General features: G+C 47.6%; 1 protein-coding gene across 10 annotated transcripts in view; it reads right to left on the bottom strand.

The window, feature by feature from the left end:
- DNAH2 (dynein axonemal heavy chain 2) overlaps positions 1-12,441 on the bottom strand; it is a 115,999-nt gene that overhangs the window by 47,023 nt on the left and 56,535 nt on the right. For all 10 annotated transcript variants that reach the window (NM_020877.5, XM_047435424.1, XM_011523667.3 and 7 more), the window contains 13 exons: positions 11,744-11,961; positions 11,378-11,479; positions 10,571-10,696; positions 9,831-9,941; positions 9,086-9,274; positions 8,540-8,643; positions 8,251-8,440; positions 7,297-7,477; positions 6,436-6,563; positions 5,938-6,090; positions 5,553-5,678; positions 378-596; positions 33-150 (listed from right to left, as the gene is read on the bottom strand). In NM_020877.5, coding sequence (NP_065928.2) covers positions 33-150; positions 378-596; positions 5,553-5,678; positions 5,938-6,090; positions 6,436-6,563; positions 7,297-7,477; positions 8,251-8,440; positions 8,540-8,643; positions 9,086-9,274; positions 9,831-9,941; positions 10,571-10,696; positions 11,378-11,479; positions 11,744-11,961 — 1,965 coding nt within the window. The remainder of the gene's footprint in view (positions 1-32; positions 151-377; positions 597-5,552; positions 5,679-5,937; positions 6,091-6,435; positions 6,564-7,296; positions 7,478-8,250; positions 8,441-8,539; positions 8,644-9,085; positions 9,275-9,830; positions 9,942-10,570; positions 10,697-11,377; positions 11,480-11,743; positions 11,962-12,441) is intronic.

The following is a 12,441-nucleotide window of genomic DNA, read 5'->3' as shown; positions in this document are numbered from 1 at the left end:
CTGCTCTCCACACCCCACGATCCTCTGGATACCTGCACATGCCGTCCGCATGACACTGGACAAGATGCCATCTGTCCATTCATTGGTGCTGAGGTCATATTCCCCATACAGTTCCCCTAGGGACAATGCCTTGGGGTTCAAAGGGAACTCCTGAAAATGACACCGGAAGGGGTTTTAGCTGCTGATGGACAAAAACCCCTCTTTATTTCCAGACCCCTCTTAGGTACGTGCATTTGTCCCTTCTCTCATCGCTCCAGGCCACCATGGTCCCAGGTACAGCTCTCCCGGCCTTGCAAGGTCCTCCCTGGCCCCCACCCTCCATTGTCTTCTTACTACTCAAGTCTCTGCCCACTGACTCCACTGTCCCAGCCCCGTACTCTAACAATGTTGAAGTTAGGGTCTCCGGCGCGGCACAGAGAGGACAGGGAGGCCTGTAGAATGCGCCATGAGGCAGTCTTGCCGCTGCCCGTGCAGCCCACGATCATGGTGGAGTGGCGGGAGTTCTTGGTTTCATACAACTGGAAAACCTTGGTGAGGGTGAACGGCGTGCTTTGCAGGCCCATGTCTCGAATCTCCTGCTCAACGGTCTCCCGCAGCTGAGGGAAGGGAAAACACAGCAAGCAGAAGAAAAAGGATGAGGCCTTTAAAGGGCTTTCAAAATCTCCCCGGTGCCAGAGAGAATACGTTCAAACTGTTAAAAATGGCACCAGGGCCCTCTGCACTCCGGCTCTGTTCACTCATTGGGAAGCTGGCCCATTGCAGAGTTGAAAGATTGGGCTCTGGAGTCCGCCAGCCTGGTTCCCCAGCTCTCAGCTATGTGATCCTGGGTAAGTTACTTCTCCACGCCTCAGTTTCCTCATTGACACAGTGTCTTACATGTAGCTCTACACACTTTTTGTTATTATTCAGCAAATATTTATTAAGCCTGTACAATGTATGCCAAGCACTGTGCTGGTTGCCACAGATACGGCTTGGAACAAAATAGATTTCGTCCTATTGCAGAGCTCACAGTTTGGTGGAAGAGCCCGTTTAATAGTAAAGACATTATTACCTAAGTTAAAAAGTAATGCTTGAAGAACCATGACCTAACAGATGGGCCCCAGAATAGTGTGCCATTTTTAAACACACAGCTCATGTAGCCAAATATTTTCAAATAGATACAAGATAGTTACTTGCACTAACAGGCCTCACTAATTCCACTTCCTTCCACTATCTGAGAAGTAGTTTTATTAGTATGTTTTCTGTGTGCACATGTGTTTAGTGTCCTAAACAAGTTTAATGTCACATTTTCTACTTATTCAGTTAAAAAATATTCTCAGCCAGGCGCGGTGGCTCACGTCTGTAATCCCAACTCTTTGGGAGGCTGAGGCGGACAGATCGCCTGAGGTCAGGAGTTCGAGACCAGCCTGGCCAACATGGCGAAACCCCGTCTCTACTAAAAATACAAAAAATTAGCCGGGTGTGGTGGCGTGTGCCTGTAGTCCCAGCTACTCAGGAGGCTGAGGCACGAGAATCGCTTGAACCTGGGAGGCGGAGGTTGCAGTGAGCCGAAATCTCACCACTGCACTCCAGCCTGGGCAACAGAGCTTTTTTTTGAGACTCCATCTCAAAAAAAAAAAAAAAAATTCTCTAATTTCTTCTTTGATCCATTAGTTATTTAGAATTGTATTGCCAAATTTCCAAACACTCGGGCTTTTTCTATTTTGTCACTGTCTGTTAAAAGCATTCAAATGCATCTCTTTATGGATTTTTTGGTCTGTTTGCATTATCTGTTCCTAAAAGAAGTAAGTCAAGATCTCCCACCAGGGCTGTGGATTTATGTGTTTCTCCTTATGGTTCTGTCCAGTTTCTTTTATGGATTTTGTAGCTATATTATTTAGTGCATACAGATTTAGAACTCTTATAACTTTCTGTGTATTGATCCTTTTATCATTATGAAATGTCACTCTTCACCTTTACGATTGCTTCTTGCCATAAAGTCTGCTTTGCCTGATAGCAGTAGAGTTATCACTGTGATCAGAAACTGTGGTCTGAATATCTTCCTTTGACATTTTTGAGGCAAATTTATGGCCTTTACATAGTCATCAATTTTCCTTTTCCTACATGGTCCAACAATTTTCTATGTGTGCTTGAAAAATATGGTTATGCTTCAATTATTTATTTTATTTTATTGAGTTGAGTTGAGGTCTCACTCTGTCACCCAGGCTGGAGTGCAGTGGTACAGTCATGGCTCAATGCAGCCTTGAAGTCCTGACCTCAGGTAATCCTCCCACCTTGGCCTCCCAAAGTCCTGGGGCTACAGGCATGAGCCAACATGCCTGGCCGATTCTCCAATTATTGAGTCCAGTTTCTATAGATATCCATTAAATCATGATTGTTGATTGTGTTCTTCAAATCTTCTATATCCTGATTTTTAGTCTGTTTGCTCTATCAATTAAGAAATATTAAGCTCTCCACTATGATACTAGATTTGTCTCTTTCTCCTTGTAATTGTGCAAAATTTGCTCTACTTATTTTGAGACTATATTATTAGATGCACAAAAATCTAGAATTGTTATACCTTCCTGATGAGTTGAAACTTTTATTATTATGAAATAGCCCTCTATTTCTAGCAATGCTTTTTAGCTCAAAATCTGTTGTCCCATATTGCTACCCTAGCTTTCTTTTGATTCGTATTTACTAAAACTAATTATTTACTAATAATTATCAAATAATAGAAAAAACATCATTTTCTATTCTTTGACTTTCAGCCCTTTGTCATTAAGCTTTAGATGGGTCTCTTGTAAACATTATAAAGTATCAGTATAACAATGTATGGTTACTTTTCCTTTCTTGGGCAACTTTTTTTGTTTTCCCTAGGATCTAATAGTTTTTGTGATTTTTGTTTGCTTAGGTTCTGTTTTTTGTTTTTTTTTTTTTGGAAACAGGGTCTCACTCTGTCACCCAGGCTGGAGTGGCACAATCTCACAATCTCAGCCACTGCAATCTCCACCTCCTGGGCTCAAACAATCCTCCTGCCTCAGCCCTCCCAATAGCTGAGACTACAAGCATGAGCCATTACACCTGGCTCATTTTCACCATGTTGCCCACGCTGGTCTCAAACTCCTCACCTCAAGCAATCCACCTGCTTATGCCTCCCAAAGTGCTAGGATTACAGGTGTGAGCCATCATGTCCAGCCTGTTTGCTTAGGGTTTTGTTTTTGTTTTTGTTTTTGTTTTGCCCCCATGTTTGCTTAGTTTTTAATGTGCTTATCTCTAACTCAATTCCAAACTCTACCAGTTGACTAAATCTTTCAAACAATTTTCACATCGGGTATCAATTTCTTCTTTAAAAAGTCATCCTGGCCCGGCGCAGTGGCTCATGCCTGTAATTCCAGCACTTTGGGAGGCTGAGGCAGGCGGATCACCTGAGGTCGGGAGTTCGAGACCAGCCTGACCAACATGGAGAAACCCCGTCTCTACCAAAAATACAAAATTAGCTGGGTGTGGTGGTGCATGCCTGTAATCCTAGCTACTCGGGAGGCTGAGGCAGGAGAATCGCTTGAACCTGGGAGGCGGAGGTTGCGGTGAGCCAAGATTGTGCCATTGCACTCCAGCCTGGGCAACAAGAGTGAAACTCCATCTCAAAAAAACAAAACAAAACAAAACAAAAAAACAGTCCTCCTGAAGACTTCAGGTTTGCTCCAGTCTGGATTGGCTTCTCTCTTTGCCCAGTGCACCACCATCATCCTGTGACCTCCATTCACCAACACCCCGAGGATTACTGTAGCCTCCCCCTTGCACCAAATCTTTTGTTTCCCATCGTCCTTTTCACGATGTGTTCCTGTGTTTAAGTAGAGCACGTTTTTCTAGTAGCTTTTGGAGAAAGTAGTTGTGACTACAGGAGCACACCTCCATGTGTGGCTATTTTTTTTTTTAAGAGATGGAGGTCTTGCTATGTTACCCAGGCTGGTCTTGAACTCCTAGCCTAAAGTGATCCTGTTGCCTCAGCCTCCAAAGTGTTGAGATGACAGGCGTGAACCACCGCACCTCGCCCCTATCAGTTTCAATATCTGAAGTAAGTTTTCATGGATCTGATTCCACTGTCTGTTGTTCTTCTGGCTCCCATTCATGGTTTCTTGTTTCCTTGTGTGTTTTGTGATTTTTGACCATGAGTTGCTCATTTTCTTGGACTTTTACCTGTGGCACTTCTTTGAAGTGTGAGTTGAAATTTCATTCCTCCAGAAATAATTTGCTTTTGCTTCTTCCAGTCACCTGGGGGCACTAACAACCTAGAACTACTTAATATTGAAATCTAAGCTTGAGATTTCTTTTCTGATTACACAGTAGGATAAATGATGACTGGAAACCATGTGAGAGCTGGTGTGTGGTTAGGAAATCTCAAAGAAAATTTGGTCTTTTTCTTCCATCATCAGAGGTCAAAACAAGCAAGTTTCTTTCCTGTATATACGCTTCTAAATCTCAGACTTCTCGTTTTTCCATCTACTGGGGATGTTGCCCCTTGGGGACTGGGGTTTATGCAGCACTGCATCTTCTGTTATATCTTCAGACTTGGGTTGTTTCATCTCCTATCCTCACTGCCTTAAGATCAACAACAGTTTTCAGGGAGAAGGCCAGCTTTGGTACTTACCTGCCTCCCAGGGTTCCTGCTTTTACTCCCTACCCTCCTCAACTCCTGGAATTCTTCCTTTCTTGCCAGCTTAGCAATGCATTAAAAAGGATGTTATTATTATATTTTTATCCATCATTTTAGTAGTTTCAATTGAAAGGATCATTCAGGGTATCTAGACTACCACACTGCCAGAGAAGAAAGTTCTTATGCTTTCTAAAACTCCCTCTTCCATTCTGCTGCTCTCTGATACCAAATGGCTTCTAGCAGCCCCTCCTCAAAACTCCCTGATGAGGTGAGAAGTAGAGGCATGGAGGACTGATGGGCACGGAGAAAGTGCAAAGGCAACGGACTAGAGGTTTCAATGAAGTCAGAGCGTTGCTGCATGGATGCACTTGAGCAGGTACACTTGAGTAGGTCAGCGGAGGAGGGAGTTGTGGTCAGAGAGCAGAATGTTTGAATAGTCTATTGCTTTATAGATAAGGAAGTCCAAAGAGAGGTCAATTGACTTGTTCAGAGTCATAGCTAGTAGATGGCAGAACAAGGACTGGAAGCCAAGTTTTCTATTCCCAGATGCATATTCACATATGTGGTCAGGGAGAGTGCGGTTTTTTTGTTTTTGTTTTGTTTTTTGAGACACGGTCTTGCTCTGTCACCCAGGCTGGAGTGCAGAGGCACAATCTCAGCTCATTATAGCCTCAATCTCCTGGGGCTCAAGCAATCCTCCTACCTCAGCCTCCCGAGTAGCTGGGACTACACTCGTGTGCACCACCATGCCTGGCTAATTTTTGTACTTTTTGTAGATACAGGGTTTCACCATGTTGCCCAGGCTAGTCTCAAACTCCTGGACTCAAACAGTCTGCCCACCTCGGCCTCCCAAAGTGCTGGGATTACAACCATGAGCCACAGCACCCGGTCAGGGAGAGTATTAAGGAACAAATACCTTGCCATAGTCAATGACAGGCAGCTCAATGTTGGGAAACAGATCTTGCACGATGGCATTGAACAGGGGTGCATCAACTGAAGTGAGCTTGGCGATGTTCATATCTCTCATTGAGAGCAGCAGAACCTGAATGGGAAAAGACAGAGACTCAGGCTTGAGGAGGCAGGGCCTAGGCCTTTCACCTCCAAAGGGCTTCGGGGCACGTGCCAAGAACAATGGATACACCAGTTAGCCATTAGCAAAGCAGCGGGCAACACGGGGATGGGACGAGGTGGGAAGGTGAGAATCCCAATCTGAGGAAAGAAAGGGTCTGAAAGACTTGAGAGAAGTGACATAGGTCCAGTGACAGTGGAAGTCAGGTCCAAAGGCTGTGTCCTTGCTCTACCTCTTCATCAGTCAGATCCGGCTGTAGGCGGCGCTTCTTGCCAGCATAGCGCAGAAGGGAGGTGAGGGCACGCAGGCCAAAGTCATAGTGGTCCTGTCTGGACAGCTGCTGCACAGCCAGTGAGTAGAGTGTGTACACCTTCTTGGCCAGAATCTGGGGAACCAAAACAGAGGAGGAAACAGTCCATCTCCCCACAAATCCCTCTGCTTCATCTCAGGACAGTCAGAGACAAGAAGCCAGGTCCCAGGACATGAAGCAGCTAGGAGGCACTCTATGGATTCTCCTGAGGAAATTGTGTGAATGACGCCATTGTCAGTTAGTGATATCACGGAGGAGACACCTCCCTCCCCTAAATTTTTCTCCCCACACATCCTACTGACAATAGTCTAAGTTCCTTAGAGGATAAGCTGATTGTGAGGCCCTTGGGGAGCTCCTCTGTCCAGGGAATAATTATGAAAGGAAATTAAAATCACTGGAGAAAAGGGGTTATTGGAGTACCTTGCAGTTGCCAAAGCCCTCTCCAAAGAGAATGATTTCTGCAATGAGGGTGGAGTCAGGCACCACCATGGCAATTGGGCGGAACATGGATTTAAGATTTTCGGGAAGCTCTGTGCGGCCAGCATAGCCTGGAAAACAATGCCACTTGCTTAGAATCATATATTTCCTCATCTTGATTTGCTTCCCCAAACCCACTTTCCAATCAGTCTCATTTTCTCCCACCCTAACTCCATCCCTAACTTTCTCTCCAACTCCAAGACCACATCCTTTCTCATCTCAGCCCCAGCCCTTCCCAGTCCACTTTGGTCTTCTCTCTTATCTCTGGTCCTTTCCTTACTTTCTGCATGGCCTTGTTTCAAACTCAAATCACAGAGCTGTCAATTTCCCATCTCTCCAGGTTCTGTGTGTATAGCTCTCATCAGTCCTAATAGAAATCACAGCTGTTCCTCTTTGTTCAGTTCCTAAACCCTTTCCTATCCCTGTGCTGTCCTAGACCCTTCCCCCAGAGTTGTTCCTAGGAAACAGTAATGAGAGACCCTAGAGCCTGCTGCAAAAGAGATGGCAGAGAGACCAGAACTCTTGGAGCTAGCCTAAAGGGAGAAGAAAGCTAAGTATCTTAAAAGATGAGGGCTACATATACACACATAAGTGGTTATTAATCCCTTTGGGGAAAACAGTAAGATTGCTTCCCCTTCTCCCGGAAAGTTGTGTTTATCCTTCTCTCCCCTTTGCTATCTTTAGCCAGACTTCACTTAGCTATATACATTCGCATGGAAGGGGGAAGAGGAGGATGCGCAGTTATTTCCCCTGAACACCCAGTTCTTCCCACCCCAGGAGTCCCATCCACTCCCTGCCACCTACCAGGATTCATGGTAATGAAGATCCCACAGGACCACACCAGATTTATTTCAAAGCCATCAAAATGGAAATGGGTGAGGCCGGCAGCCAGGGCAGACAGGATGCACAGGATCTGGTGGGCCACCACTGACAGCACCTCGATGTTGATGCGGTTAAACTCATCAAAGCAGCCCCAAGCTCCAGTCTGCGGGGTGCAAGGCAGAGTCACTGGGAGCGAGAGGTGCCCCAAGAGGCTAGAAAGCGTGATTAACGCACCCTTCCTTCAAATGTTTCAATAGGCGAGGCGGCCTCCAGACTAGGGGGCAGGGAGGAGGGCACCAGAGTACACTGTTGTAGCTTCTGGCCAGAACTTTCCATCAGATGGGGCCAATCTGGGGTGATGCTAGAAAAGGTGTGGGTTGGAAAGAGACTGGGGTAGGGAACTTGTGTGCACTGTCTACTCTGCTCCAGTTAACACACATTATTTTCTTTAATCCTTTATAATCTTCTGATTTTGCAAATAAGCTACATGAAGCTCAGGAAGGGGAAGGGACTTTCCTAGTTGTAAGAATTATACGTGGCTGGGCGCAGTGGCTCACGCCTGTAATCCCAGCACTTTGGGAGGCCAAGACAGGTGGATCACCTAAGGTCAGGAGTTCGAGACCAGCCTGGCCAAGATGGTGAAACCCCGTCTCCACTAAAAATACAAAAATTCTCCGGGCTTGGTGTCACACGCCTGTAATCCCAGCTACTCAGGAGGCTGAGGCAGGAGAATTGCCCGAACCCAGCAGGCAAAGGTTGCAGTGAACCGAGATCATGCCACTGCACTCCAAAAAATAAATAAATAAATAAATAAGAATTACATGTGATGCAATGTCATGAAGCTACAAAGCACTGAACCAGATTTGGGTTTCAGTTTATTTTCTGGGACGAAAAGGTATTTAAGGGGCTTCTGGCACAGGGTGGCAGGATACTGACCTGGGCCAGACCTGAGTACATTCGGCCCATGGACTTGTAGTCCAGGCCCTCAGAGCAGTTGACCACAATGACATATATGCCCAGGGCCTTGCCCAGGTCCTTGACGGTCTCGGTCTTGCCTGTGCCTGCAGGGCCTTTGGGGGAGCCCCCTCGGTGCAGGTGCAATGCCGTGGTCAGTGTCATGTAACACCTGAGAATTGAGGACAGAACTAGAGTCAGACTCCTGGAAGCCTCTCTCAGCTTCTGCTGCCCCCCACCCCAGCCACCTCATTCATCCCACATGGCAGACCTGTCCGTCAGGGGGGTGATGACGAGCCGGCCCGAGTTACCCAAGTACTCATAATTATACTGAAATTGCGTGTTGGTCTGGCGGATGACACAGTCATCAAGATCCTGGGGAAAACAGCGCAGAAAAAGAGAGAGGTGGGCTTGGAAGGAGAGTTAGAGCTGGGACAATGACTGAGAGTGGGGCTCAGAGTTGTCAGGGAGGCTGCAGTGAAGGGATCAGGGGTTCCCTTTTAGAGTTGAAAAGGGGAGCGGTTTATGGGCAAGATGGAAAATGGGTTTCATGTTGCACATCCACCCCGACCCAATGCAGCAGCTGCCTGGAGTGTTTCTGAGTCCTGTTCAAGTGACATTCATAGTGAGCCCTGACTGGGACAACTACTTGCCACTCCTGATTGTGGGGAGGAGATGGAAGGAAGAACCGGATTAGGGTAGTGGGACAGGACTAAGGGTTGGCTTAGGATATCCTTGCATTTACAGAACATGGATGCAATAAAAGCATTAGGATCCATTTTACGGTAAGAGAGTGGGGAGGTGGCCCATCTGGCACCTTCTCCCAGTAGAACCGAAGTTGGCTGAGCCAGTCAAAGGAATTGACATCCATGAGGCCACTCTTGTAAAGCTTCTCCAACACATCCCGGGCATGAATTTCTATCGTCACCAGAGCCACAATTTTAAGCCGCATGATCTTGGTCAAGTTCCCCCTGATGGCTTCTGAATACTTATTCAGGATTGACACCTGTGGCATGAAGCAGCAGGGAAGAGAGCAGACAGAGCAATGCCGCCAAAGCCTGATCAACCCTTGCCCCTACCCAGCACCGCTTCCAACCCGGTGCTGACCCCACCTGCTGTAACTCCTGGTAATTCTGCTCTACCACGGACTGCCCCCACTGGACTTCCATCATAAAGCACCCTCGCTCTGGCCCTTTTCCACCAGCTCACCTCTAATTCTGACTGCTCCCTCCCTGCAATTCTAGCTCCAGGCCTAGCCCATACTTGCAGAGCACCCACCTACTTTTTTCTTTTCTTTTCTTTTCTTTCTTTTTTTTTTTTTTTGAGACAGAGTCTTGTTCTGTCGCCCAGGCTGGAGTGCAGTGGTACGATCTTAGCTCACTGCAGCCTCAACCTCCTGGGTGTGCCACCAGCTAATTTTTGTATTTTTTGGTAAAGAAGGGGTTTCGCCATATTGCCCAGGCTGGTCTCGAACTCCTGGGCTCAAGCGAGTGGGCTCCTACCACCTCTGCCTCCCAAAGTGCTGGGATTACAAGCATGAGCCAGTGCGCCCAGCCTCTCACCTGGTTCTTCTTCATGACCTTGAGGATTTTCTTGTCTGCCCGCTCCTTCGCTGTCAGCAGGCACTTGGTGACATCAGCCGTCCACTGGATCTGACTGGCAGTGATCACCACCTGGGGATGTGCAGAAGCCACGTCCCAAAGCCCTGTCCTTGGCTACACGCACAGCCCAGCTCCCAAGTCCCAGCTAATTCAAGAACCATGTGCCTCTCCCAACTGCACCCAATCTGCTCTGAAGGATGGGACATGGGCCTCAGGTCAGGAGCTAAGGGTCCAGCTTGGAGTGTACCAGAGCCACAGCTCAGAAAGGGGGGTAAGAAACCACACTGTGTGAGACTCAAGATTCTGTCTTTCCACTGGCCACCTCCTTTTAACTCCATCTTCTCGTTCCCTCATTTCTTCATTTCTTTCTTTTTTTCTCTTTTTTTAGACAGAGTCTTGCTTTGTCACCCAGGCTGGAGTGCAGCGGCACAATCTCGGCTCACTACAACCTTCACCTACTGGGTTCAAGCTATTCTTCTGCCTCGGCCTCCTGAGAAACTGGGACTACAGGAGCACACCACCACACCAGATAATTTTTTGTATTTTTAGTAGAGACGGGGTTTCACCATGTTGGCCAGGCTGGTCTTGAACTCCTGACCTCAAGTGATCTGCCCACCTCGGCCTCCCAAAGTGCTGGGATTACAGGCGTGAGCCACCGTGCCCAGCCCCTTGTTCCCTCACTTCTGTTGACCCCAGCTCACCTGGCCAGCCCACTCCTTCACCCATTTGTCCCTCTTGTTGAGGAACTTCCTGAGGGCCAGGTGGCAGTTCCGGAGAAGGTCCCGCAGGGTCACCCTCATGGTCTGTTCCACATCGCCAAGCCAGGACTGGGGGGAGGTGGGAGAATAGGGCAGCTCAGCCTGAGGGGGCACGGCCAAGGTCCTCCACAGGGAAGGCACTTATGGAGCAGCACTTCAGGGCTTTGTACCCAGAGAAAAGCGGGAATGGCCAACAGCTGGCTTGCGTTCCTGAGAGAAATGGAGGCTAGGAGGCAGATGATCTGACTTTCAGAAGGAAATTTCGGTTCAGAGCAGAGATGGTCATTGTCAGGAATGGCAGGTGAGATGGGAAAGAGTGACTAACGGCCATTTAAAGAGGTCTTCTCTCCTCATGGAGCCAGTTGAACTTTCTTTTTTTTTTTTTTTCTTTTTTTTTTTTTGGTTTTGAGACGGAGTTTCACTCTTGTTCCCCAGGCTGGAGTACAATGGCGCAATCTCAGCTCACCACAACCTCCGCCTCCCAGGTTCAAGTGATTCTCCTGCCTCAGCCTCCCGAGTAGCTGGGATTACCAGCATGCGCCACCGCGCCCACCTAATTTTGTATTTTTAGCAGAAACGGGGTTTCTCCATGTTGGTCAGGCTGGTCTCAAACTCCCGACCTCAGGTGATCTGCCCACCTCAGCCTCCCAAAGTGCTGGGATTACAAGTGTGAGCCACTGCGCCCGACCCAGGTGAACTTTCTGTAGGAAGAAGAATCAGCTAGGTCCTCAGACCCTCACCACAACTCACCTCCACAGGGCCTTCTAAAAATACTGAGTGGAGGAAGTCAATGTACTCGCCGTCGCCCGAGAACATCCCCACAGCTTCCCATTTGCTGCTGGGCCCTCCAACCTGCAGAAAGCAGAAGCTACTCAGAGCCTGGCCTGCCCACCCTTGGTGTCCGCCTAGAAGTCCTGGGGCCTTTTGAGGATAATTACTGCTCCTCTCCCCTCCTCTCAATATTACCAATTCTAAGAAGTTCTATCCCCCTGAGAATTGAGAATCATTAATTAACATGGCCCTCCTTTTGGGAGGGCAGGGTCCCCTCCAAAGCTTTTCATACCCCAACACCCTCCCTTCGCCACCCAGCATCTCACTGTGGCCACTTCTACTGACCTTCTGGATTCTCAGCAACTTGATGTTGTCAAAGCATTTTTTGAGGTGTGGCTGCACAGCCTCTGGGTTTCGGGACTGGCCCAGAATCTCCAGCAGGTCATCATTGGACAAGAAGTAGAAGCGGGGGAAAATATGTCGCTTGGTCTCTAAATACATATCCAGAGATTTCTGAATATCTTCCAGGATTGTATTCATTTCTATCAATGTGTCCAGGAGGCCTGGGAAGAAGAGCGATGAATGACATTTGATTCATTTCCACTGCCCTGGGCGGATCTGGATGCCCCAACTCTGTGTTCTTTGCCAGCTCTTGAACAGTGGGGCACAGACTGCCATGAGGGTTTCTGGACGCAGAGAAGTATCCCCAGACTGTCTAACATGCTCAACCCATTCTCTCTGTTAATTCATTACAGTATTCATTATGCACTATTGTACATGTTACCGTTTATGCATTGATACATCATATATGATTTCATTAATACAGTAATTCCCCCTTATCCACAGTTTCACGTCCCATGGTTGCAACTACCTGCAGACAACTGTGGTCCGAAAATACTGAATGGAAAATTCCAGAAATAATCCCTAGGTTTTAATTGCACACTGTTCTGAGTAGTGTGATGCAATCTCTCACCATCCTGCTCTGTCCCCCAGGATGTGAATTATCCCTCTGTCCAGCGTCTCCATGCTGCGGAGGTTCCCTG

Source organism: Homo sapiens, chromosome 17 (genome assembly GCF_000001405.40).
Source record: "Homo sapiens chromosome 17, GRCh38.p14 Primary Assembly".
Lineage (NCBI taxonomy): Eukaryota > Metazoa > Chordata > Mammalia > Primates > Hominidae > Homo > Homo sapiens.
Note: the sequence above shows the minus strand (reverse complement) of the source record. Positions and strands in the feature narration are given on the sequence as shown.